At 45.7% G+C, this 27,640-nt stretch overlaps 1 protein-coding gene across 4 annotated transcripts in view, besides 4 other annotated features; it reads left to right on the top strand.

Moving 5' to 3' along the window:
* Positions 1 to 27,640, top strand: part of FLNB (filamin B) — a 163,830-nt gene that overhangs the window by 43,353 nt on the left and 92,837 nt on the right. For all 4 annotated transcript variants that reach the window (NM_001164317.2, NM_001457.4, NM_001164318.2 and 1 more), the window contains exons 2-3: positions 25,272 to 25,520; positions 26,943 to 27,040. In NM_001164317.2, coding sequence (NP_001157789.1) covers positions 25,272 to 25,520; positions 26,943 to 27,040 — 347 coding nt within the window. The remainder of the gene's footprint in view (positions 1 to 25,271; positions 25,521 to 26,942; positions 27,041 to 27,640) is intronic.
* Positions 568 to 862: an enhancer, noted in NCBI's record as "tiled region #2534; HepG2 Activating DNase matched - State 5:Enh, and K562 Activating DNase unmatched - State 5:Enh". NCBI's record gives its function as "activates a minimal TATA promoter and a strong SV40 promoter by Sharpr-MPRA in HepG2 and K562 cells {active_cell/tissue: HepG2 | K562}" and the evidence as "EXISTENCE:reporter gene assay evidence [ECO:0000049][PMID:27701403]".
* Positions 3,436 to 3,973: an enhancer, noted in NCBI's record as "H3K27ac-H3K4me1 hESC enhancer chr3:58040937-58041474 (GRCh37/hg19 assembly coordinates)". NCBI's record gives its function as "activates a minimal SCP1, AML or CMV promoter by ChIP-STARR-seq in primed H9 embryonic stem cells {active_cell/tissue: H9 hESC(primed)}" and the evidence as "EXISTENCE:reporter gene assay evidence [ECO:0000049][PMID:30033119]".
* Positions 13,652 to 14,529: an enhancer, noted in NCBI's record as "H3K27ac-H3K4me1 hESC enhancer chr3:58051153-58052030 (GRCh37/hg19 assembly coordinates)". NCBI's record gives its function as "activates a minimal SCP1, AML or CMV promoter by ChIP-STARR-seq in naive H9 embryonic stem cells {active_cell/tissue: H9 hESC(naive)}" and the evidence as "EXISTENCE:reporter gene assay evidence [ECO:0000049][PMID:30033119]".
* Positions 22,535 to 22,724: an enhancer, noted in NCBI's record as "active region_19998". NCBI's record gives its function as "activates an Ori minimal core promoter by ATAC-STARR-seq in GM12878 lymphoblastoid cells {active_cell/tissue: GM12878}" and the evidence as "EXISTENCE:reporter gene assay evidence [ECO:0000049][PMID:35858748]".

Consider the following 27,640-nt stretch of genomic DNA (forward strand, 5'->3'; position numbering starts at 1 on the left):
GGAAGAGCCATGCTTGAGATAGGACCAAGGTCATATCCCCGGCATTAGCACAGAGCAACCCTGACCTGTTGGAGAGTTGGGCTGGATGGATGCGGTCAGGGGAGAGACTCGCTTTATTTTATTTATTTAGAGATACAGTTTCACTCTTGTCACCCAGGCTGGAGTGTAATGGCACGATCTCGGCTCACTGCAACCTCTGCCTCCTGGGTTCAAGTGATTCTCGTGCCTCAGCCTCCTGAGTGGCTGGGACTCCAGGCACGCGCCGCCACACCCTGCTAGTTTTTGTGTTTTTACTAGAGACAGGGTTTCACCATTGTTGGCCAGGCTGGTCTTGAACTCCTGACCTCAGGTGATCCGCCCACCTCGGCCTACCAAAGTGCTGGGATTATGGGTGTGAGCCACTGTGCCCAGCCTCGACTCGCTTTATTATATCCACACTTGGAATACAATTCGGATTGATTGTAGTGGGGCATTTTATAATTAGGAAAAATTAATCAGGAAAAATCACTCCATGTAGATTAGTACCACCATATGAGGGGACAAGAATTTCTTCAGATTAGGAACTTCTTCCAACAGGACTGACAGGGTCCAAAACTACTCTTGGATCCAGCTTTAAGATGGACCCAGCCCACTGTTGAGTCCCCTCTGAGGTCTTCTCTCTGTGGATGGATTTGATTGTTAACAATGGCTGAGTCATGTGGCACCCAGCCCGGTGAGTAAGACAGCTGAGTAAGAGGGGAAACAGGGCCTTTGGTCAGAAAAACCAGACTGACTTCAGTCTTATCTGTTTAGAGAAGCCCCAGAAGCTGCAAAAATTGCAGCTTCCAGACTTTAGTGTGCCGTGGTCATGACATCGGTGTGGATGGCAGGTTGTCATCTGAGCAGTCAGGGTGGCAGCACACAGCTTGCGGGCTGGCTGATGGCCGAGGTGTGTGAACTGACCTGCCCCAAGTGACTTCAGTGCTGGGCACAGCATAGGAGCAGTACTAATGATATGGACAGTATGCTCAGAGGACGTTAGGGAGCACAGCTTTGTGTAAAGGGCATGCCCTGCCCTGTCCGGATTTAAAGCAGCTATAGCACTGAAACCCCATGGTCACCCTCGCATTTCTACACTTCTGCCTGTGCCAAGTCTAGTTTGTGTGCCTCCTCCATTTTGTGTGTACATGGGGGTATTTTTTTCTGCTAGGCAACTGCTATTTATGCCTCTCAGTACTGTACTTAGTGTGTACCATTCCTGCAAGGTATAGACATTGTCAGCCCATTTTACAGATGAGGAAAATGGAGTTTTTGAGAGGGTGAGATCATTCAGTGGCAGAATGGAATGTTAACCCAGGTAGTCTAACCTCTCTGCTGTAGATCTGATGTCCATTTGAACTTTAGACTTCCCATCTGTGTCTACAGTCTAGCCCTTAAAAAATGTGATAAACAGGTTTTTAGGTAAGTCTGTTAATTTCAGAAAGACATTATTATTATTTTTTAGAAAGTTAGAGCTTATGTTAGGGCTCAGTCTATCCTCCTGCCTCAGCTGCCTGAATAGCTGGGACTGCAGGCACATGCCACCATGCCTGGTTAATTTCTGTGGTATACATCATTGATTACTGAGAAGTCACAGTCCGTTGTTAAATAACTGAGCTATTCATAGCCAAATCATTTTTAAAAACACAAATATAAGCAAAAACAAAACATTTATTTATTTATTTATTGAGACGGAGTCTCGCTGTCACCCGGGCTGGAGTGCAGTGGCGCTATCTCAGCTCACTGCAACCTCTGCCTCCTGGGTTCAAGTGATTCTTCTGCTTCAGCCTCCCCAGTAGCTGGGACTACAGACACCCACTACCATGCCCGGCTAATTTTTTTTTTATTTTTAGTAGAGACAGGGTTTCACTGTGTTAGTCAGGATGGTCTTTATCTCCTGACCTTGTGATCTGCCCGCCTCGGCCTCCCAAAGTGCTGGGATTACAGACGTGAGCCACTGTACCTGGCCCAAACATGTGGTTTTTTTAAATGAAAGTGTGTTCATTTTACAAACAGTGCATTCTTACTAATTTTACAGGCCCTGTGCTAGGGACATGGCCTCGTCTTCCGCTATCTTAGAGTGAAGAAGTAAAGACAGAGAAAGTGTTCACAAGTTGCTGCACAAGTCTCATTGCAGTGCCTCCCAGAGGCGCGAAGAGCAACACCTTTCACCTGGGCTGTCCTAGAAGGCCCGTGGCAGGGTGGGGTTGGTGAACACTGGGGCTTAAGGGGGTGAATTCAGAAGACAAAGGACCTTCTGGGCAAAGAAGGGCCCAGTAGTGGGAAGTGCAGGAGTGTGAGAGTGCCTGGAATTGCCCACTCACTGGCTCTGGAGCTTGGTGCTGAGTGCTTGGGAAGTGTTGGGAGGATCAGTTATATTGCTGGCTGGGTTCTAAAGAACCTCCAAAGTTTACATAAAAGTTACCTTTGATTTGACTGTTCTACCCTCCAGTCACGTGGCTAAATTAATTAAATCAAATTTAAAATTAAGCTCAGCCATACCAAGTATATCCAGTGTTCAATAGGTACATGTGGCTTGTGGCTGATGCACTGGACAGTGTACATATAAAACATTTCCATCGTTGCAGAAACTTCTATTGAACAGCAGTTGTATTAGTCCGTTCTCAACACTGCTGTGAAGAAATACCTGAGACTGGGTAATTTATAAAGGAAAGAGGTTTAATTGATTCCCAGTTCCACAGGGCTGGGGAAGTCTCGGGAAACTTACAATCATGGCAGAAGGGGAAGCAAACATGTCCTTCTTCACATGGAGGCCGCAGCAAGGAGAAGTGCAGAGAGAAGAGGGGGAAAAGCCCCTTATAAAACCATCAGATCTTGTGAGAACAGCAGCATGGGGGTAACCATTCCCCTGATTCAATTACCTCCCACCAGGTCCCTCCAATGACCTGTGGGGATTATGGGAACTACAATTTAAGATGAGATTTGGGTGGGGACATAGCCAAGCCACATCAGTGTTGTTACACACCACAGTGGTGCTGTGGTGTGTAGGTGGGAAAACTATGGCATGGGGGCCATATCTGGTCCTCTGCCTATTTTTATAAAGTTTTATTGGAACATAGGCCACACTCATTTATTTATGTACTGTCTATGGATGCTTTCACACTGCAACAATAGATCCAAATAGTTGCAAAGAGACTGTGTGGCCCACAAAACCTAAATATTTACTATCCAGGCCAGGCATGGTGGCTCATGCCTGTAATTCCAGCACTTTGGGAGGTTGAGGTGGGCAGATCCCTTGAGGTCAGGAGTTCAAGACCATCCTAGCCAACATGGTGAAATCCTGTCTCTACCAAAAATACAAAAATTAGCTAGGCTTGGTGGTGCTTGCCTGTAATCCCAGCTACTTGGGTGTCGAGACACGAGAATTGCTTGAACCCAGAAGGCAGAGGTTGCAGTGAGCTGGGATCATGCCACTGTACTCCAGCCTGGGTGACAGAGTGAGATTCTGTCTCTCAAAAAAAAAAAACTTACTCTTTGGCCCTTTATGGAAAGTTTGCTGACCTCTTCTGTAGATGGTAGGGTACGGTAGAAGGTGTTCAAGCCAGGAGTAACATGAATGATTGTATTTATGGCCTAAGAGGATAACTCGTGGTGGTGGGCGGGCCATATTTGTGGAGAGACCCATTTTCAGTGACTTCCAAGAGTCTGCGTGAGAGATGACTGAGGTCTTGCCCTGGCAGGAATGGTTCCATTAATCTGTGTCTCATTTGACAAATGAGGAACTACAAATGGGAACAGTTTAAGATGAGATTTGGGTGGGGACACAGCCAAACCACATCAGTGGTGCTAATAGACAGTGGTGCTGTGGTGTGTAGTAGGGAAAACTATGGCCTGTGGGCCAAATTTTGAAGTCCTTTTACTTTTTGGTTCTAAAAATTATTAATTGTAGCCAGAGTTGTTAACTTAATATGTCTTGGACCCCTTGGGCTCTCTGAAGACTGTACTCTTTCTTTCCACTTAATAATATACATGGAATTGCAAAGGAAACCAATGATATTGAAATAGATATCAGAAATAAAATTTTTAGATATAGCAATAAATGCACATCTGTATTAAAATGTGTAATAACAAGATCTAACAGTGAGTCTAAGAACTACTATAATTATCATGTAGCAATGGCATAAAGGATAGTTTGTGCTATCTAAAACAGTCAATGACAGGAGAAAATCTGATTTCTTTGGTGATAAAACGACAGGTGCTGCTAATACACCTGTGTTTTATGGTCTTCGTTTGTAATGAAAAGAAATGCCATTAATAAATTTTATTTATTTATTTATTTATTTATTTATTTATTTTTTTTTTTTTTGAGGTGGAGTCTCACTCTGTCGCCCAGGCTGAAGTGCAGTGGCATGATCTCGGCTCACTACTACCTCCTCCTCCTGGGTTCAAGGGATTCTTCTGCCTCAGGCTCCTGAGTAGCTGGGATTACAGGCGCCCACCACCATGCCAAGCTAATTTTTGTATTTTTAATAGAGGTGGGGGTTTCACCATGTTGACCAGGCTAGTCTCGAACTCCTGACCTTGTGATCTGCCTACCTCGGGCTCCCAAAGTCCTGGGATTACAGGTGTGAGCCACCGCACCCGGCCAGATGCTGGGATGTTTTTTAAGACCTTAGACCCTAAGCCTATCATATCAAATACAATGAAACACACCCACTTTTCACACTTTAAAAAAAGTGTGTTGGTGTTTATTGCTGTAAAATAGTTTGAAACTTTTTAAAAAAAGTTTTGGTCTTGCTCATACTTGTGTTTTAAAAAAGTATTTGGCTATGACTAACTCAGTTATGTATTTATTTATTTATTTTTGAGACGGAGTCTCGCTTTGTTGCCCAGGCTGGAGTGCAGTGGCATGACCTCGGCTCACTGCAGTCGCCGCCTCCTGGGTTCAAGCCTCAGCCTCTCGAGTAGCTAGAATTACAGGCGTGCTCCACCATACCCAGCTAATTTTTGTATTTTTAGTAGAGATGGGGTTTTACCATATTGGTCAGGATAGTCTTGATCTCCTGACCTCCTGATCTGCCTGCCTCGGCCTCCCAAAGTGCTGGGATTACAGGCGTGAGCCACCACGCCCTGTGACTAACTCAGTTATTTAACAATTGACTGTAATTTCTCAGCAATCAGTGTATACTTGGAAATTCTTGGGATGTGAGAAAACTAACCTATAACTCATTTTCTTTTTTCTTTGAGGTGAGGTCTCTCTTTGTTACCCAGGCTGGCGTGCAGTGGCATGAACAGGGCTCACTGCAGCCTTGACCTCCTGGGCTCAATCCTCCCACCTCAGTCTCCTGAGTAGCTGGGACTACTGGCACGTGCCACCATGCCTGGTTAATTTTTGTATTTTCTGTAGAAATGGGGTCTCACTGTGTTGCCCAGGCTGATCCTGAACTCCTGAGCTCAAGCAATCCACCCACTTTGGCCTCCCAACATACCGGGATTACAGGCATGAATGAGCCACCATGCCTGGCCTGCAACTTCTATAAATAGCAAAGTTAGTAATTAGTGAAGATGATGGTTTGCAAGCACTGAATTATACTTCTATTAATTTCATTTCCTTTCAATTTTCTAATGTTTTGTGCCCAATCTGTCCTGTCTGCCTCTACCTAGCTTTAGAAGTGTTTTGTTGGTTCCTGAGATGGAGCTGTGCCTGAAGGGTATGAGGTTACCCTCTGGGTTCAGCGGGGAGATTTGGGAAGAGTTTTGATTTGTAGGCCAGTAAAGGGGCCTGACATTAGATGATGGCTGCTGGGCTAGGGAACAACTTAGAGGCAGCTAACAGGATTCAGGGAGAGTGGATTTGGTGGGAGAGAGTAGTCTAGGATGAATCCAATTGGGTTTTTATGAGTAGTTTGGTAGTTGGTTGACTGGGTGGGTGGTCCCTTGGTAATTATTTGTTGATTAGTGGTTGTTGGGTTAGGTTGGTTACACTTACATTATAGTCGATGGAATCTCAGATTTGGATCTAATACCACATGTAAGTCGAGTGGATTTTTTTTTGAGACAGAGTTTTGCTCTTGTTGCTCAGGCTGGAGTGCAGTGGAACAGTCTCAGCTCACCACAACCTCCGCCTCCCAGGTTCAAGCGATTCTCCTACCTCAGCCTCCCGAGTAGCTGGGATTACAGGCATGCGCCACCACGCCGGGCTAATTTTGTATTTTTAAGAGTTGGGGGTTTCACCATATTGGTCAGGCTGGTCTCGAACTCCCGACCTCAGGTGATCCGCCTGCCTTGGCCTCCTAAAGTGCTGGCATTACAGGGGTGAGCCACTGTGCCTGGCCAGTTGAGTGGATTTTTTTAGCACTCAAGCTTCGTGGCTCATTGCTATTATTGTGCATGTGAGCGTTTTATCTTTCAGTAGCATTAGGGATGCTACTTGGATGTGTTTTAGTTATTACAGAAATAGTTTTTACTAACTTTTACTAAGTTATCTTTCCTCTCCTGTGTAGGAAGTTTAGAGTGAAGCGGCAGTTGGCTGGAGGTTCTGAAGGTTTCCCCCTTTCACATAATTTGATGTTCCAGTTGCCCACATCAGGACGACTCCCTCTCTTTCTACTGATGTAAGCAGTGGGCCAAATTATGGGGCTCCATCCCTGCATCTTCCTACTTGTCTAAATCTTCGTCACAGACAACATATTGCTCTAAAGGAAACCTAGAAAGGAGGAGAAGCTGGTTTTCGCCCAAATTCCTCAAAATCATCGCCTGTTGTTTAAGAATTACAGTTTGCACTGGAACAATAAGATGTTCCTTAATGTGGTTTTTAAGTGAGTTGGTTGTCGCCTGAATTTCATAAACACTGGCTAAGGATTGTGCAAAAGGGTGTGCTTCCCTTTAGCATCCTTAATTAGGGACAGCGTTTTGAAAACTGCTTTTTATTGTCCTTTATCTGCAAAACTTCTTGAATCCAAATAGCGAGATTCTCATTTCTTAATCACTGCCACAGAAAGTTGTAGATTAGAGAAAGCTCCAATTCCTTATTTCCTGTCTTCCTTTCTTTCTGTGTGTTTATTGCCTGTGTCTCATCCTCACTCCTGCCAGTTTTATAGAATGTAACCTCCCAGCCTCTGGGAATGTTTGGGAGACTTGTTCATAGAGGATCTGAAGAGCAGTTTAAAGTGGACTTACCCAAACTATCTTCTGGAGAACATTAGTCTCTTTGGAGATAAAATTTTTAAACATCCGCTAGTCCAATAGTGTTGGCAAATTCCCTGTGACACTGTAGCCCTCTCTTTGAGATTGTCAATGTACGTTGGCATGTTAAAGGCTCTGAGAAGTCCTGCAGCAGTTAAAAAATTGTTTAGTCTAGTGTGCCCCCAGTTGTTTGGCCACTGAAACCCCCTTTTCTGGAAAAACCAGCTAACATCTGGTAGTCTTTTCTAAGAGGTGGTACTGAAGATGATACTCATGTTACACATTTAAAAATTCTAACATGTGTTTTTCATGTGTTTATAAAATGCAACTAATGTATCAAACCTGTGATTTCCAGGACATAATTACTTAAGCTAAGGAAAAAAGAAAACATGAGTGAAGGAAAAACTTTAGTAAATAGGCCAGGTGGTAAGAGGAGAGAGCCTTGTCTGTGAGTGTGGTCTAGGGGGATGCTGGACCTAGCTTTTCAGAGCTAGGTTCAGGCAGAGCTGCTCTGAGATGTAGACACTGCAGCTGGGGTTCTTGTTGAGCCGGGAAGCAGCTTCTGACTAAGGTGCAGACTGTTTAGATGAGCTGGTCATAAAGAGCCCTGACTGTGGACTGCGTCTCCAGCCACGGCAGCAGCTGGTGGATGGGGTGATGCCTTGGATATTTATCGTGTGTTTCTTGCCTGGCCTGCCCTTGGACAGTGCGCCTCAGGAATGTTAGAATGTGTTCCCCCTTTAGCAGCAAAGCCGATCTGCTGTGTACTTGTTCTGTTTATCTTACTGCCACGACCGTTTATCACGGGCCAGAGTTCAGGGGCACACTGATAAATCTCTTTTAGGAGGATGATGTAACCCTCAGCATTTTCCCCCTACTTGGTTCTGAGTTTTTAAAGCTTTTGTAACACCATCATGTCCTTGTTTGGGCATCTTCCTGTGTACTCCCGTTTGGGTCTCCAGGGTGAAATAGCCAACAGTGGATTCTGGAGTCATGGCCTGGGTTCAAATTCCTGCTCTGCTGCTTATCAACTCTGACTTTGGGTTTAATTGACCTATTCATTATTTTTCTTAATCTGGAAAATGGAGCCAACAGCAGTTCCTCATAAAGCAGCTGTAAGGATTCAGGGGGGTAACTGCACAGGGCCAAGCCCTCAGGTTTCACCTCTCACTGGGAGGTCGGACCTCTGCATAATGGACAAGCTCTCCTAGGGTGCAAGTGAACGGGGGCGCAAGGGAGTTAGGAAGGTGGGTGTTTTTTGTTTTTGTTTTTTGGTGGCTTGAAAAACATGCCCAAGGCTGGGTGTGGTGGCTCATGCCTGTAATTCCAGCACTTTGGAAGGCAGAGGCGGGAGCATTGTTTGAGCCCGGGAGTTTGAGATCAGCCTGGGCAACATGGTGAGACCCTGTCTCTCTTTTTTTTTTTTTTTTTTTGAGATGGAGTCTCGCTCTGTTGCCCAGACTGGAGTGCAGTGGCGCAATCTCAGCTCACTGCAACCTTCACCCCCAGGTTCAAGTGATTCTCCTGCCTCAGCCTCCCAAGTAGCTGGGATTACAGGCGTGTGCCATTGTGCCCAGCTAATTTTTGTGCTTTTAGTAGAGATGGGGTTTTGTCATGTTGGCCAGGCTGGTCTCGAACTCCTGATCACAGGTGACCCATCCACCTTGGCCTCCCAAAGTGCTAGGATTATAGGCGTGAGCTACTGTGCCTGGCTGACCCAAAAAATTAGCTGGGCGTGGTGGCACACACCCCTGTAGTCCCAGCTACTTGTGAGGCTGGGGCAGGAGGATTGCTTGAGGCCAGCCTGGGCAACAGAGCAAGACCTTGTCTCAAAAAAAAAAAAAAAAAAAAAAAAAAAAAAGAAAGAAAGAAAAGAAAAGAAAAGAAAAGAAAAACATGCCCAAAGGCAACCAAATGACTCCATCTTTTGCAATGTAATCTTCAACATCGACTCCTCTGGCAAGCTGTTTGGAAATGGCAAAGTCCATCTCCTGAGGCTGGGAGATTGCTTGTCCAGGACGGGTGTGTCTGGTGAGGAATGGAAGGCATTTGGATGGCCACTGAGAAAGCTGAGCCAAGGAGCATCAGAAAGACAATCAGGCAAACCCACAGAGTCTCCAGGTATTCCTTTGCTGATAGGTAACATTGCACTAGCGATTTAAACAAACAGGTGAAAGGCCATTGCCCTACCACCCCACCTCACCTCTATTCCTTGCTGCTCTTTCCAGAAGCAACTGCATGGTCTGGGAACAGTTTTTTGTCTTGTCAAGAGACAGTCTGTACATAGATGAATTCAATTATATTACTTCTGTAGTACCCTGTACTCAAATTTGAACCTGTCATACACATTGCTTTTATCATTTCATAATACCTGTTGATTTTCCCACGTTAGTACCTATAGATCCTGACAAGCAATTTTGTTAAGATGAAGAGTTCTTCATATGTATTGTACTATGTTTCTTTTTTTGATGATGTATGTCAAGATTTATTATAAAAGTAACAGATGGGTAGGGCATGGTGGCTCATTCCTGTGATCCCAGCACTTTGGGAGACCGAGATGGGAGGATTGCTTGAGCCCGGGAGTTTAAGACAAGCCTGGGAAACCTGGCGAAATCCTGTCTCTACAAAAATTACGAAAATTAGCCAGGCATGGTGGTGACTGTCCCAGCTACTTGGGACCCAAATGTCCCAGATACTCAGGAAGCTGAGTCGGGAGCCTGATCCTCAGAGGTCGAGGTTGCAGTGAGCCGTGATTGCACCACTGCACTCCAGCCTAGGTGACAGAGTGAGACCCTGTCTCCCCCTGGCCTCCAAAAAAAAAAAAAAAAGTAACATATGTAGTTTAAATTTTAAAAATTAAATTTTTGGGGGGGCTGGGTGTGGTGGCTCATGCCTGTAATCCCAGCACTTTGGGAGGCCAAGGTGGGCAGATCACCTGAGATCAGGAGTTCAAGACCAGCCTGGCCAACATGGTGAAACCCTGTCTCTAGAAAAACACAAAAATTAGCTGGGCATGATGGGGGGCGCCTGTAATCCCAGCTACTTGGGAGGCTGAGGTGGGAGAATCGCTTGAACCTGGGAGGCGGAGGTTGCAGTAAGCCGAAATCATGCCACTGCACTCCAGCCTGGGTGACAGAGCGAGACTCCATTAAAAAATAAAAATAAAAAATCAAGCAATGCAGAATAAATAACAACAATAAAATGAAAGCCCATCTTCCACCATCAGCTTCTTAGTTTTCTTCCTAGAAGGAGCCAGTGAGGACAGTTTGGTGTTTATGCTTCCAGATCTTTCTGTTCAGATGCAGTCATGACTTCTGAAAAACAGGATTGTACAATTCATACTTTTCTACAAATTATCCCCTTCCCTTAATACATCATAGAAGCCTATTCATATTGGAACAAACAAACATTTCTTATTCTTTTCACAGCACCCTGTTTTCCTCTTGCTTGAATGTAAAGTTTATTTAACCACTTACTGTCAGGGAGGCATTTGTTTTCAGTTCTCCCTCCCTCCCCCCACCAGTTGTCTTGTAATGAACTGCTTTAATGGCTAAAGATCACTTTAATATCAAAACCTCCCCCACCTCCCATTAGAAAAAGAAATCATGTTAGGGAACTTCAAATTGAATTTACGGACCTTGTGTTTAATTTTCTATCAGCAGTGGCCCCAGCCTGGCCCCTGCAGACTGCCCCGGAATCTGTGGGAGGAGTTGGGGTGGCCTGCAGACTAGAGCACACTGCCAGTTCATTCAGCAGCTCACCGAGCAAGAAACATCTTGATTCTATCAGCCTTAATGCTGTGTCCCATTAGGGACCCAGCTCTTGTGGTCATTAGCAGATGGAATGCTCATCTGTGCTAGAAGGCGGAATTCTAGGGCATTCGGCTCTGAGCAGTCTTGAACCAGAATTGAATGGCTTGAATCCTTTTCACAATGCCAACGGGGAGGCACCCTTAGCTCCCAAACTTGTGTGTGTTATAATACTATGGTAGTAATAACAGTGGTTGTAGTAGCCCCCGTGAATTTGATGGGACAGTCGTCAGGCAGTGCTGCTTGCTTGCTTTACTCCATCGTATCACCGCAGCCTGATGAGGCGAGGGAGTTACGACTCTCATTTTGCAGGTGAGGACACTGAGCACAGGGAATCGACCCACTCATGGTCACACAGCTTGCCAAGTCGCTGTGCTTGGGAGGTGAACCAGGCTTCTCTGACGCCCCAGCAGGACGTCTGAACTTCTAGCTGCCCCATCACTAACTGACTTAATGCCCCTGACTCCTGGGTGACTTGGCCACCAGTTACTTCAGCCAGCGACCTGCCCTTTCTTTGAGTGGGTTCCACCCATCCCTGCACCATGCCTTTTACTTTGGATGTTGGTGGCATGGAATTCCACCCGTAAGAAGGAGGTCGGTCCCTGGGCTGAGAGAGTTTGCAGAGAGCTCTGTTGGGATTGGGTGGGACGTGTGTTTGGAGGCCTCCTCACATAATTGTGGGCTGAAAGGTCCAGATTTGGGGATATAAAGTTGAGCCGTCAGCTGAGCTAAAGACAGGGCACAGGGAGGAGCCATCCAGAAAGTGTCAGTGTAGGTAAAGCAGGCAGAGTTCCCCCTATCTGTCCTCTGAGGGCCTCCTTTCTTGTGGTTTCCTCCCTTTTCTGTGGTGATGGTCAGAGCCAGCGGTTATAAATTATTTGGAATTTTCCTCAGCTTGGTTCCTACTCAAGACTTTAAATTAGGAGTTTTGTTCCCTTTTATGACTTCACAATCTTTGGGCAGGCTGCCATCTCTACAGCAGGCTAATATGAGTTGTAACTTGAGGTGAGTTACAGGGGAAAAATGGAAGCTGATTTCTCCCCTTTTAAACCAAGGAAGCCACCTTGATCTGACTTTGTAACAAAGCTCAACTTTTGTAAGTTTGCAATTAAAGGATAAATACCTATCCTATTTATTATTATTATTAACTTTTTATTATAAAAGGGGAAAAAACTCCCAGGAAACATAGCCTAATATGAGGGACAAAAAGCCAAAAGGTTTTTTTTTTCTTCCTTTAAAAGGTCCTCAATGTCTTGCCCTGTGGAGACACCAGTTTTCATTATAATAACGCCATTATCTCTTTGTAGAGTCATTTCAAGCCAATTTAACTTTCTCATTTAAAAGTATAATTGGTATTCAGCACAGAGCTGGGAGCTCAGTAGGCAGTTAGAAAATATGTGTATATTTTTTGAGACGAAGTTTCACTCTTGTCACCTAGGCTGGAGTGCAGTGGTGCGATCTTGGCTTACTGCAACCTCCACCTCCCGGGTTCAAGCAATTCTCCTGCCTCAGCCTCCCAAATAGCTGGAACTACAGGCACTCACCACCACGCCCAACTAATTTTCGTATTTTTAGTAGAGATGGGGTTTCACCATGGCTGGTCTCAAACTCCTGAGTTTCGCCAGGCTGGTTTCAAACTCCTGATTTCAGGTGATCTACCTGCCTTGGCCTCCTAAAGTGCTGGCATTATAGGCATGAGCCACAGCACCTGGCTGGCAGTTAGGAAATATTTATTGAATATGAGAAAAGAAAAATAGAGCAAATTGAATCTTCAAGTAGTATGTGAGTAACTCTAATTCCTGTTTTCTGGAAAACACACAGGCTGATAGGTTTGGGTAAATAAGAGCAGAGCTGCATCTTCTCTCAAGTTCCCTGATTCCCTCAAGGAGTTACCTGAGAATAGCTCTGTGCCAAGCAGTGCGGCATGCATAGGGGACCTCTTGAATGGAGGGACAGTCCATTATCATTAGAATCCCCAGTTCCAGCCAGGTGCAGTGGCTCATGCCTGTAATCCCAGCACTTTGAGAGGCCAATGTGGGCAGATTGCTTGAGTTCAGGAGTTCAAGACTAGCCTGGGCAACATGGCAAAACCTTGTCTCCCCCCGCCACACACACACCACACAGACACACAGACACACACACACTGGCTAGGCGTGGTGGCAGGTGTCTGTAGTCCCAGCTACTTAGAAAGCTGAGGTAGGAGGATTGCTTGAGACTTGGAGGTCGATACTGCAGTGAGCTGTGATCGTGCCACTGCACTCCAGCTTGGGTGACAGAGCAAGACCCCGGACCCTGTCTCAAAAAAAAAATTCCCCAGTTCTCAGGGTGTGGTAGAGGCCGAGTCAGTCATGGCTGAGACAAGGGGACTGTGCTCTGTGTGCTTCTGTGCCCTGTGTTTATATGGTTCATACGCTGCCTGTCCACCATGTTTTTCCCGAGAGCCTCGGCAGCGCAGGCATCATGGGAATGACTGAGTCAGGTGGAAATTCAGAGGCCCTGCCCTGGTGGGCAGAGAAGCCTGGCTTACCTCCCAAGCACAGCATGTGTGTGGATCACTTCTGTGCACTGTCTCCTCATCTCCAAAATGGGAGTCATAACTGAACTCACCTCATCAAGTTGTTATGAGATGATGTAGATTCAGCGAAGTAGCAAGAGTAGGAGTTTGGGCTTTGATAACAGAGAGAAGTGAGTTTCCATCTAGATTCTCCCCCTGTGTCACTTTTGGCAGTTGGCTTCACCTCTGTGGGCCTCTGTTATGTCATCTGTAAAATGGGATTAACCCTAAAAGCCACCCTCACAGGGTCATTGTGAGGATTGCACAAGGTGATGCAAGTGGCACAGGGTCTGGCCCAGGAGAGGGGGCTGGAAGAGAGCGAGCTGCCATTGTATTTTGGTTGCTGTGGATCTAAGGAGAAGAGATGTTTAGGAGTCTTTCCCTGGCATGGTTCCTCCTGCCTTCACCCATCACTCTTTTCCTCGAGGGATTCCCTGTGGGGTGCACAGCCCCAGGGTGGGCCAGACTGAGCTCACAGGAGCATGGGCTGTGTTTCAGGTGAGGTGGCCTCACCACATGACAAACTGAGCTGGAGTCAAAGGGTCACGAGGACCTCCATTCACAGCCAGCATTTATTATTTCAGCTGGAAATGTTTGCCGAGCAGTTGTAGCTGGAAGCTGTGAGCGAGACACAGACTGCCATCAGGCTGAGGCCTCCAGAGCTCATGCTGGGCTTTAACCTGAGCCTCTTGGGGGCTGGGCTCTGAGCTCCTCCACTTCTGCTCATGCCCAGGCGTCCTTGGGGGCCTTGAACTGTCAGTTGTCCAGGAGAACTGTGTGGCAGCAACAGAATGAGTTTGTATAGCAACCTGTTGCTTTGAGGTTTAAAACTTAGTTTAGAACGCAATTGCTTTGACCATTTTGGAGTGTCTATACTTTTTTTCTTCTTCTTTAAGTTTTCTTTTTTCTTTTTTTCTTTTTTTTTTTTTTGAGACAGAGTTTTGCTCTTGTTGCCCAGTGGCAACAAGAGTGCAATGGCGAAATCTCGGCTCACCACAACCTCTACCTCCTGGGTTCAAGCTATTCTCCTGCCTCGGCCTTCTGAGTAGCTGGGATTACAGGCGCCCGCCACCATGCCTGACCAATTTTTGTATTTTTAGTAGAGACGGGTTTCACCGTGTTCACCAGGCTGGTCTCGAACTCCTGACCTCAGGTGATTCATCTGCCTTGGCCTCCCAAAATGCTGGGATTACAGGCATAAGCCATCAAGCCCTGCTTTTTTGTTTCCCTTCTTCGACCTTTCTAACAAGAGGTTGGAATCCTCGTTTTGACTTTTAAAGGATTTCCCAGTGCTAGAAAGTGGTAAGATAGTTACTGTATCCTAGGCCCTTTAGCAGACCTGTCTCATTGATCATTTATTTAGTCCAGTGTGGCTTTGTTGTTGGATATTAAGTAATTCTCAAAATTTTACCTTTTCAAAAGTGGCATTGAAAATAAAGGCATTGGGTGATGAAAATGGAACTTTTAAATACAGTGATTCCTGTTAACCAGAAATAGGGTGTTTGGGATAATTTATGAAGCAGTACACCATCATAGATACTATGAGCTGAAAGTTCACCAAACTCTCTATCCCAAAATAACAATAAGGTATTTATGAAGTGATTCGTTCCAACTATTTGAGGCAAAAATTGTCCAGCAAGTGAGAGAGAACAGAAGGAATAGTTGGCAAAATAGGGAATTTGAAGTCTGAGGTTATGCATAAGGAATGTGTTATGGGCCTATAGTAGAAATCTCAAATCAGGGATTAGGGAATGTTTACTCAGTTCTGTTGCAGAGAAATCCTGGCCACGACTCCCCCATGCCATGCCCAGGGCAGGCATTGCTAATCTTCACTGCCTCCATTCTCCATGCCCTGTTCACGGAAGACATTTCTAATGCATTTTAGCAGTCTTTTTTTTTTTTGCTGAATCCAGATGTGGCCTCAGAATCCTTCTCAACACAGTGTACTAGCACCACTTGGTGCTCCTGATCTACTGTATCATCTCTTGAAAAACTACTAACATGAAAAGACCTGCCAAGTCAACTTTATATTAACTGAACCCTTGACACAGTGATGGATAAAAATTAATTCAAACAGCTTCTTTGTGATCTTTGAGTAGTTCATGAGCAAGAAAGAGAATTGGAAATCCAGCCAACTTCGGCCCCCTTGTCTACTTGTATTTTACTGTGGTTTATGTTTTCTCTTACCAATTGAGATAGGCCCATGAGACTTCTGGTCTTCCAAAGCCCAGAACATCCCCACATTATAGTTTAACCACTGTAACAAAGAGGTTTTTTTTGTTTGTTTTTTTGTTTTTTTTTTGTTTTTTTTTTGGGACAGAATCTCGCTCTGTCGCCCAGGCTGGAGTGCAGTGGCATGATCTTGGCTCACTGCAAGCTCCGCCTCCCAGGTTCACGCCATTCTCCTGCCTCAGCCTCCTGAGTAGCTGGGGTTACAGGCGCCCACCATCACGCCCGGCTAATTTTTTGCATTTTTTAATAGAGACGGGGTGTCTGGATCTCTGACCTCGTGATCCGCCCACCTCCGCCTCCCAAAGTGCTGGGATTACAGGCGTGAGCCACCACGCCTGGCCAGAGGTTTTCTTAAAAACAATAACAACAAAAACAGTTGTGGAAAGCATGTAGAGTGTGGGTTTTTTCGGTCTTCAGGTTGGCAGGGCATCTGATACTGGGACCCAGGTTCCTTCCCTCACCTTGCTGTGCCTCTCCTAGTGCAGGCCAAAGCCAGGTGACTGCGCTGTCTGGGCTCCTGGCTGGCAATCGGGGAAAGAGTGCATGGAGCAGGCATGCCCACTGTTCAGGTCCTGAAGCCGTGGCTCATTTCATATCATTTGTTGCTTATTTGAAAGACAGGCACAGCACTGACTTCCAGGGGAGGCTGACTGACCATCTAGGTGGAAGTTGCATGCCTGGGAGGGAGAAGGGGACAAAGGCCACAGATAGGCATCAGTTATCAGGGCCTTAAGTCTGCCTTGTTGGCATGCAGCCTTTTATTGGATCAAGGCCCTGGAGAAAAGCCCTGAGCAGGAGGAGATAAGCCAGCTTGGTCCCCTTCATCCTACCCAGGGGCCTCTGGGGTACCTGAGCCAAAGTGCACAGTTCATTGGCTGTGTGGATGGAAGGGATATGGGACTTGAAAATGGGACACTGGTCCTGGGCAGCTGACCGACATGGTCCTCCTTAACCTGCTGTCTGGGGAGATGGGTTGCATCTGGCTAGGTTTTGACTGAGGAACTGAGGAGAGCTGTCAGCTGTCCCCGCTTTGGTTCAGAATGCCCTTTTGTTTGGACAGCTGAAGCCTACAATTCAGCCATGGTTTGTTTGGGCTCAGAAAACAGGCAAGGATGGAGAGAAACTGCAAAGCTGACCTGGGCTGTCAGTGGGCACCAGGTCCTGCTGGCCTGGGGTCTGGATGCAGGAGATCTGAGCTCTTCAATGTGGGGTGGTCTTGCAGCAGCTCTTCACAGGCTGCTGCTGCTGCTGCTGTAGGCTCACCCAAGCAGCCAAGACGGACAGGATCTATTCTAGTTTTGTGCAGAGTTGGATATAGAAGAGGCATTAGAGGGAGAGGGGATGGGGAAGGAGTTCCAGGCCAGGTGAGCATGGGGCACAGTAAACTGGGATGTTAAGGAGGGGCCAGTTTGTGACCAGCCTGGGCAACATGGCGGAACCCTGTCTCTATAAAAAATTAAATTAGCCAGGTGGGTGGCATGTGCCTGTAGTCCTAGCTACCCAGGAGGCTGAGGTGGAAGGATCGCTTGAGCCCAGGAGGCGGATGTTGCAGTGAGCAGAGATTGTACCATTGTATTCTAGCCTGGATGACCGAGACCCTGTCTTTAAAAAAAAAAAAAAAGGAGGGGCCAGACCCCTGACCCATATGTGCTGCTCTTTTCTTTCAGGGAGGTCTGATAAAATATCAGTAGTTCAATTCTTTTTTTTTTTTTTTTTTTTTTTCTGAGATGGAGTCTTGCTCTGTTGCCCAGGCTGGAGTGCAATGGAGTGATTTCGGCTCACTGAGACCTCCGTCTCCCAGGTTCAAGTGATTCTTGTGCCTCAGCCTCCCAAGTAGCTGGGATTACAAGGTGCCCACCGCCATGCCTGGCTGATTTTTGTATTTTTAGTAGCGACAGGGTTTCACCATATTGTCCAGGCTGGTCTCGAACTCGTGACCTCAGGAGGTCCTCCTGCCTCAGCCTCCCAAAGTGCTGGGATTATAGGCGTGAGCCACCATGCCCGGCCCATAGTTCAGTTCTTTAGGTGGTTCTTGGTGCTGCATATGAGATCTCTGCAAGAAGGACACGTCTGAGCCGGGTGGTTTAGAAGACCAGCATGGCCCAAGACCCTCAGAGCAACACCAAGAACCACCTAAAATTCTTTCTCAGACGTGTCCTTCTTGCAGAGATCTCACGTGCCCCAGGTTCGCTGCAGCGTTAGGGGTCAGCCTCCCTTTGGAGCAGGAGAGCAGGGGCCTTGGAGGTGGCAGTCATGGCCCTCCTAATTAATTGCTTGGCTCAGAGAAGTGACAAATTGAACATTTCAACCACCTGTTAATTCACAAGGTACTTCTTTTCATTTCTTGCTGCTTGCACAAAACACTTGGAGTATGGCTTGTGGATGTCTGGCCCTAGGGAAGAGTGTTTGGCACATAGCAGGTACTTAAGTATTAGGAAAATGAGGATGGAGGGGAGGGAGGGAACATTATTAAGCGGCCAACTGTGAGACAGGCATTGTGCTTGACTCTTTCTTTCTTTTTTTTTTTTTTTTTGAGACAGAGTCTCTTTCTGTCACCCAGGCTGGAGTGCAGTGGTGTGATCTCGGATCACTGCAACCGCGCCTCCTGGGTTCAAGTGATTTTCGTGCCTCAGCCTCCCAAGTAGCTGGGATTACAGGCGCCTGCCATTATGCCCTGCTAATTTTATTTTTAGTGGAGACAGGGTTTCACCATGTTGGCCAGGCTGGTCTCGAACTCCTGACCTCAGTGATCTGCCTGCCTCGGCCTCCCAAAGTGCCAGGATTACAGGCGTGAGCCACTGTGCCCGGCCGACACTTGGCATTCTCTAACCTACCTACTCCTTATAACAGCCCTGGGAAGTAGTTGACCATGGCCATTTCTATTTGGTAGATGAGGAAAAATAAGGTTCAGAGATGGATTGTTCAAACCGATGTATCTAGTCAAGCTACTGGTTCCCGAGCCTGTGTTTGCAACCCCTCTACCATGTAGCCTCTCCGGGTGGTAGAGATGAGGGGGCAGAGTGCACAGTGCATGGCATCCTGTTCCCCAGATGGCCAAGTCTTAGTGCGAGTGTGTGTGGCCTTGGTAACTTGTGTCAAGCACACACCCCATCTCTCTCTCTCTCTCTTTTTTTTTTTTTTTTTGAAACGGAGTCTCACTCGGTCACCCAGGCTGGAGTGCAGTGGTGCTATCTTGGCTCACTGCAACCTCTGCCTCCTGGGTTCAGGCGATTCTCTTGCCTCAGCCTCCCGAGTAGCTGGGACTACAGGCACATGCCACCACGCCCAGCAAATTTTTAGAAGAGACTGGGTTTCACCATGTTGGCCAGGATGGTCTTGAACTCCTGACCTCGTGATCTGCCCTCCTTGGCCTCCCAAAGTGCTAGGATTACAGGCTCTCTTGCTCTCTCTCTCTCTTGTTTTTTTTTTTTTGAGACAGAGTCTTACTTTGTTGCCCAGCTTGGAGTGCAGTGGCGTGATCATGGTTCACTGCAGCCTCGATCTCCTGGCTCAAGCAATCCTCCTGCCTCAGCCTCTCAAGTACTAGTTGGTACTAATGGGCATGCACCACTACACCTGACTAATTTTTTTTATTATTTGTAGGGACAGGGTGTCCCTATGTTGCCCAGGCTCTGGTCTTGAACTCCTGGGCTCGAGCTATCCTCCTGTCTCAGCTTCCCATAGTGCTGGGATTACAGAGATGAACCGCCTGGCCTACACACCCCTATCTCTCCTCGATTCTTTTTTTTTTTTTTTTTTTTTTGAGACAGAGTCTCCCTCTGTCTCCCAGGCTGGAGTGCAGTGGGGTGATCTTGGCTCACTGTAGCCTATGGCTCCCAGGTTCAAGCGATTCTTGTGCTTCAGCCACCCAAGTAGCTGGGATTACAGGCACACACCACCATGCCCAGCTAATTTTTGTATTTTGAGTAGAGACAGGGTTTCACCGTGTTAGCCAGGCTGGCCTCGAACTCCTGACCCCAAGTGATCCTCCTGCCTCGGCCTCCCAAAGTGTTGAGATTATAGGTGTGAGCCACCATGCCTGGCCTCTCCTTGATTCTTACAGTCACTTTGTTGGCTGTTTCTGACTCAGCAGCTACCTGCATTGTGGCCAAAGGATGACCTATTCCTTCTCAGGAGGGCAAAAATGTGGAATAGTGTCTGTCCATGCCTCTCCTCATGGGCTACCACCTCTGCCACCGTGGTTAATCAGTAACAACCAGGAGAGAAGCTGCTGGAACTGACCTCTGGGAACTCCCTGGATGGTTTGGTGCAGGAATGTAGTAGGCATACACGTGGTTGCGTGGATCTGGGCCCTCCTGATGTGAGTAGAGAGGTAAAAGGCCACCATCTCCTTGACCTCTGGGGAACTCATCCACAAAGAAGATGTTTCCAAGATGCTTCTGAAGATTGCCTAAAAATAGCCGGTTTCCACCCCCGTGAATGCATCCATTCTAGAATGCTCCTTCACCAGGACCAGAGAACTGATTTACAGAAGTGACATGAAAACATTCCATCCCAGAATTTGCAGTAGCTCAAATTAAGTTTCTAGCTATTAAAAAGAAAAGAAAACAAAACTAAACAAAACACACCCACCCTGCTCACTTAGAAGCAACACTGAGTAATTTTAAGTAGTTCGAGAAAATGTATGTGGTTTGAGGGTCAGGGTTGTCCAGAGCCAAGACCAGTTATGTGGGAATTGTTATTGGCTGGATTTGGGGAGGAGAAACCCATGGCCCAATTCCAACCCACTGAAATCTAAGCAGATTCTAGGTGGTTAGGCGGACCTGGTAGGCGTTGGTTTATTTTATTCCCGAAAAAGGCCCTGGAGCAAGTCTTCACATGGAATCCTGCTGAAAGGCTTCCGGCTCATCTGGCCTTTTCCTCCTCTTAAGGTTCTGCTCCATGTTTTACCCTCGGCGTAAACATTGCAGAGCACGTTCAGATCTGAAAAGTGTCTCATCTACGTGATGGTCAGACGTTGTTGACCCTGTGATGCTGTGTAACATTTCATTTTCGAGGCTTGGGGAGTCTCCTATTTCATGTGGATGGGAACCTGGAGGTCTTTGGGCAAGTCGCCATCTTTTTATTGTTCCAAGAGTTTGGTGAAGCGTTTGAACCTTCACCTGTCAAAATCAGTTTTGGAATGAGAACTGCTCTCTCTCTAGTCCTTATAATAGCAGAAGGAAGGTATCATTTATCCCAATGAGACCATAAAGGGGGCTTTCCCGTGTGGACACCCACCTTGAATTCAATTGGAAACAGAAATTCTGGGCATTGTATTTTTTGTAAATTTGGCTCAGACTTCAACTGGATCATATTTCCCCCAAAATCTTTTCGAAAAAGACTTGTGTCTCATTCCTTTAGACTAGCATGTGTAAGCTGGGTAAAAATAGAGCAAGCCGATTTCATGTTAATGATTTCATGTTAGGTTTGTGAATCAAATCTGCAAGTCTGCTTTTGAAAAGCATTTAACATATAACTTGGGAAAGTTTGAGTTTTGCAGACTAATGCCTGTGGCCGGATGAGACTTCATAGCTCCATCCAATCCCTCCTGGTGCAAGAGATCAATGCCTTGAGGGTGCCTGGCCACCACCATTACCCTGACAGTATACCCACTATTTATTTATTTATTTATTTATTTATTTACTTATTTATTGTTTACCCTTTTGAAGATTGCTCTTCTCCCTTTAACTTAAAGGAATTGGCATGGAAACTTGTTTGATCTGGAATTTCTGATAATCAGTAGGTAGTAACTCCGTAATCAATAGCACTTCAAAACAACAACCAAATAACAGGATAACTAATCCAAAAAATTCAGTCATGGTCAAGGACTTCCAGCTCAGGAAATGTCTGGTCCCGTGGGGTGGATTCCTTGGATAACCAAGTTCCGTGCAGGGCCTGGAGTTTTATGCAGACCATTGCTCCTTGATTGACCACAGGACCTCAAAAGGAGGGCTGGCTTCATGACCACATGACCCGTGTGCTCAGAAGGGCCCTGTACTTGGTTTATTGCTCTGCTGTTGCTGTCTTGAAGTTCTTAATTTTTTTTTTTTTTTTGGCACTGGGGAGTTGCAGTTTCAAACAACACTTATTCATTGTCTCACAGTTTCTGTGGGCCAGGAGTCCAGCCATGGCTTAAGACCAGGTCCTCTGCTCCGGGTCTCACGAGACTACAAGGAAGGTGCCATCTAGGGTGTGTTTTCATCTGAATGCCTAACTAAGGAAAAATCCACTTCATTCAGGTTCATTCAGGTTTTTAAAAGAATCCATTTCTGTGTGATTGTCCCACTGACAGGTCCCAGCTTTTTACTAGCTGTTGCTTGGAGGCTAACCTCAGGTTTTACAGGCTACGCTCATATCTCTGCCATGAGGCCTTCTGCATAGGCAATTCATAACACAGGTGCCTGTTTCCTCACAGCCAGCAAGAGAATCTGTCTCCTGTCTGCTAAAGTGGAGTTTCATGCATCGTAATATGGTCATGGGAGTAATAGCCCGTCACCTCTGCCATTTTTCTGTTGGTTAGAATAAAGGCACAGGTTTTCCCCACACTCAGGAAGAACCCATGATATAAAGGCTTTCAGTAAAGGAGACGACAAACAGAATATGGAATGATCAGAATTACTCTTATGACCCAGACCAAGAACATCAGCATTACCTACGAATTTATTGGAAATTCAAATTCTCCTGTTTCACCCCAGGCCTGTTAAATCAGAAACTTTAAAAGCGAGCCCAGCATTCTGTGGTTTAACAGATCCTTCAGGTGATTCTGACACCTGCTGAATTTTGAGAACCACTGGTCTAGAGGCAGGCAGGTCTTGCTCCCCTAGGAGTTAAGTTTGATGTATCTTCTGGTAATACTGAGAAATGAGCTGGGAAATGGTTCCAAAATCAGATTATCCTCCCCAGGATTAACAAGACTCATACTTGCAAAAGAGAGTGAAGAAGAGAAACTAAAAAAAGCAAGAGGCTGTGTGTGAAGCTAGATTCAAACAGTTAAAGACAGCAACACATGGCAAAGGATGGGAATTTGAGGAAGTGGGTAGTGAAAGCAATTCTTGAGCTAAATTACAAGAAAACACGGTGAATTTGTATCTGTTTCCTATATTTAGGGGGCTGGCTTAAACGTTAGTGATACATTTGGGGAGTAGAAAATGGATGTTGGTGTGAAGTTCTTAAGTTTTGGACAAGGAACCCTGTATTTTCATTTTTCTCTGAGCCCCATGAATTATGTAGACAGTCCTGCTTCGAAGTTATTATTTATACAATTCATTATAGAGAAAGTCCTTGGGAACCTTAACTTTGAGTGAGGATTGCTTGAGTTAGTTTTTCTTACCAGCCACTCCATGATACTCTTTGTTTTTTCCAGGTTAGATGATCGAGTTTTATTATGACTGAATCTGCACCTGCAAAATTAATTCTGATTAATTAATTTAATAATTAAATTCTGATGATTTCTCTCTGATGGTTTGGGTGTGGGCTCTTAAAGAGGGTCTTTTTTTGCAAGAGGATATAACAATAATCAGGTTAATTAAAAAAATAAGGCTCTCACCCTTTCATTTTTGAGTGGCATGCCATGCACCCCTTATCAGCATGTGAGTATGCTTTTCATGTGGTCGTGGTTGGGTTTCATTAAGTGTAATTTGGCATGTGTTCAACCAGCATTCAGGTGGCTCTTGGTGGGTGGCTGGGGAGACACCAAGATGCAGATAGCTCAGTCACTCCTCAACAAGCGGCTTAGTTCTGGAATGAGGTGGGAGGCCAAGGAACTCACACATAAATGCTGGTGGGAGTGAAGTGCCACCAGCTGTAGAATCTGGTGTCAGAATGATGAGCCAGGAGTTATCCCACAGGAGGATGGGTGAAGGTCTTCCCATCAAAGGGATAGAGAACATGTGAAGAGGTCCAGGGGCTCAGGGCAAGATGTAGTCCAGGAACAAGGAGTCTTTGAGCCTGCAGTATGGTGGGTGGAAGTGGCAAGAGTGGAAAGCGGATTGGATGGGGTTTATGTAGGTTCTGAGGTGCTGTGTATGTTTAAGGAGCTGATTGTGTGCAGCGGGAACCCTGGTGAATTTGGAAGCACAGAGGCACCTGACGAGAAAGATGGTTCTGGGGTTATGTGAACAGTGATTCGGCTTCAAGGCTATCAAAGACAAAAATGTTTATTGGGAGGGTATAGAAAAGGGTTTGCCAAAAGAGTTAGGTAGGGATAGAATTGACACATTGTGGAAACTATACCCAGAGTTTAAGAGGTGGAGTCCAGGATAGTGCCCATGTTTGTAGCTTGGGGTCCTGGTAGAATGGGAGCTGGCTATGGAGTATCTTTGTTGGAGAGTGGGTATAGGGAAACGGAGAGAGAGAGAAAGTTGCAGGGGGTGCGGGAGATGGATAGCTGCAGAGAAGGCAAGGGCAGGGAAAGTGGAAACAAATGGCAGTGAGACTCCTGGAAGGTGCTGGCCAGGGGCATGGCATGGCATGTTCTGTTAAGCAAGGAAAGGACTAGAAAGGGGCCATGATTTTGGCTGGGCACTTATCCTCCTCACAACAGGACGCATTTGTGTCATGGCTTACTCTTAAGAATGACTGACGTGTCAGAATAGCAAATATGAAAATGATTGATAACACCTAGCATTGGTGAGATTTGCAGGGATAACTAGCTGGCCTCTTAAATCTATAGATAGGAATGTAAACAGAAACAAACTTTTTATAGGGAAAAGATATCTAGGACATAATGATTAATGAAAAGAAAAAAATTCCTACCTATCGAAAAACGTGAATTCAGGCAGCAAACACACATGCATGTATACACATACACACGTGCACACACGCATACACACACAATCTGGTAGGCTGTATACTACCAGTTTAGCAGGTTGTTACCTCTGGGATGCAGTCACTCCTTTTTGTTGTGTATATTTGTGAAATGATTTCTTTCAATTTTTGAGACAGGGTCTCACTCTGTTGCCCAGGCTGGAGTGCAGTGGCGTGACGTCAGCTCTCTGCAACTTTCACTTCCCGGGCTCAAGCGATCCTCCAACCTCAGTCTCCTGAGTAGCTGGGACTACAGGAGTGAGCCACCATGCTCGGCTAATTTTTTTTTTTTTTTTGGGTAGAGAGGGAGTTTTGCCATGTTGCCCAGGCTGGTCTTGAACTCCTAAGCTCAAAGCAATCCTCCTGCCTCGGCCTCCCAAAAGTGCTGGGGTTACAGGAGTGTGCCACTGCACCTGGCCATTATTATGGAAAATTTTAGGCGTATACAAAAGTAGAGACAGTGGTGTCTTACATGCTCATGAACCCATGATCCAGTGACATCCGTTAATGGCATTTTGGAATCATATTTCATCTGTTTTTGTCCTCAAATGTTTTGAAGCAAATTTCAGCATTACATCATTTCACTCTTAAATATCTCAGTATGGTTCTCTAATAGTTGAAGACTCCATTTACATTTATATAAGGAGCATAATTTACACTTGTGTAACCCAAAGGAATGACCAAGCCTGTGCTTCTCTCCCCAGATAGCAAAGCCATTGTGGATGGGAACCTGAAGCTCATCTTGGGTCTGGTGTGGACGCTGATCCTCCACTACTCCATCTCCATGCCCGTGTGGGAGGATGAAGGGGATGATGATGCCAAGAAGCAGACGCCAAAGCAGAGGCTGCTGGGGTGGATTCAGAACAAGATCCCCTACTTGCCCATCACCAACTTTAACCAGAACTGGCAAGACGGCAAAGCCCTGGGAGCCCTGGTAGACAGCTGTGCTCCAGGTAAGTGGCCAGGGCTGCCTAAACCATCTGTCCAGGATGGGGGTGTGTGGGTCCCAAACATTCTGGTTTTCAACGGGAATGCTATCTTTGCTTTGATTAGCGTATTTCTCCAGGTCTTAGCCCATTATAAGCCCATTATAAGGAAACTAAAACTGGCTCTGTGTACCCTTCCAAGGGCAGATTTTCTAGGTATATCCATAGACATGTTTGAGCATCAAGTTGAGTCTTTTATCCAAATTCCAATGAAGGAGTTGGTGCTTAGAAGCAAGACTTGGGTTTAGGTTCCAGACTCCAAAATCCTGTGTCTTCCCACATTGGTGCTCAGTTTCTCATTGGATTTGGAGAAACATTTGGTCCTATTAGGTGGCTTGGCATGAAAATCTGAAAACTTCCATGGAGTGGAAAGTACCCATTTTTATTAACCACTGGTTTGACTATATATGGCATTCTCCACCCTTTTCTTTCTGTGTTGCTGTGAAATAGCATTTGGTCAGGATCCAGTTGGAGCCTTTTCCACCCTTGATGGGCTGCTCATTTCTTAGTGGTTGAGTGTATATGAAGGTTGTAATTATTCCCACTGGAGGGTTTAGATTGATGGGTAGAGTTTGCTGGTACACACTCAGTAGAAAGACCAGAGTCAGAGTTTACACACACCCCCTAAAGTTGATTTTAATAAAAAAAAAAGGTATTAATCATATTTTCCATTTACTGTGTATTCTGTATTTACTGGGCACATTAGTATTTAGTTAGTTAGTGGTTCTTGACATACTCAAAGCAGAACTAGTGTCAGTTGGGTAGGGGAGGGCTGAAGGCCTCATTCTTACTTGAGAGCCTATAAGTTGGTGTCATCCAGGAAAAATTCAAAGTGCAGCATTAATTGATTTCCTAATATCCTCTTCTTTACTTCCATTTAAGGACACATTTTAGGATACCTCTTTCCAATTTAAACCTGGGAGTTTTTACTCTAGTCCTTTACCTCATGTGCTTACAAAGGCTTTTAAGATAATTCTAGGTTTGTGCCTTTGAGCAAGTGGATTTTTGAATCACACAGGATGCTATTCTAGACTTTTTAGATATATCCAGGAATAGAGTAAAAAATAAAATCCCTCCTGCATAAAGGCACCAGGCTTTTTCCAAGCTTTGTTTATTTTTTAACACCACTTCTTCAAGGAATGGATAATCCCCATCTTCATGCAAGAACATAGCACCCGGAGGAGAAGTCTCAGTAATGGAGGATAGTTTACACCCTGGCACACTCATACCTGTGATACTTTTTGCCTATTAAATATATGATTTGCTCAGATTTTAGGAAAAAATCATTCTCTGAACTAAAAGAAAAAATGGGGTTAGTTTAGGCACATGGTTTCCTTTAATCTCTTTGGTCAGCTAATGCTAAAAGAATCTTTTGTGTTCTGTTAACAGGTCTGTGCCCAGACTGGGAATCCTGGGACCCGCAGAAGCCTGTGGATAATGCACGAGAAGCCATGCAGCAGGCAGATGACTGGCTGGGTGTCCCACAGGTATGCACAAGTGTGCCAGGTCCTGTGAGGCTGCCCCCACCCACTAGCTTGTTCTGTGGATGCCTTCCCGGGTCAGGCAGCCCGACCTTCTTGGCATTGAGACTTCAGAGAGCATTGCCTGTGATGCTCTCTCATCTTCCTCAGTTTACCCATAATAATAGTAGGTTCTCATTGACTCAGGTGCTTATAGATCTTAGTGTGTTGGTTTAATGTAGATCATCCAGAAATTTTCATGTCACTCTTCTTTGTCACACACTGGCAAATTTTCTAGTATTTCTTCTCTAAATATTTTGAAGACTACCTTTAAACCCCAGACTACAAATATGGACCCTAACTATTAGGTTGAGCCATAAGAAATTGATAGTATTTGACCATTTTTCAATCTACATTTTAAAAGGTAATTTTAATCCAATAGCTTAAGAAAAGTCACAGGACTTAAAATTTTTTTTTTTTTTTGAGATGGAGTCTCGCTTTGTCGCCCAGGCTGGAGTGCAGTGGTGTGATCTCCACTCACTGCAACCTCTGCCTCCCGGGTTCAAGCAATTCTCCTGCCTCAGCCTCCTGAGTAGCTGGGATTATAGGTGCGCACCACCACACCTG

The sequence above is a fragment of the Homo sapiens genome, chromosome 3, assembly GCF_000001405.40.
Source record: "Homo sapiens chromosome 3, GRCh38.p14 Primary Assembly".
Classification (NCBI taxonomy): domain Eukaryota; kingdom Metazoa; phylum Chordata; class Mammalia; order Primates; family Hominidae; genus Homo; species Homo sapiens.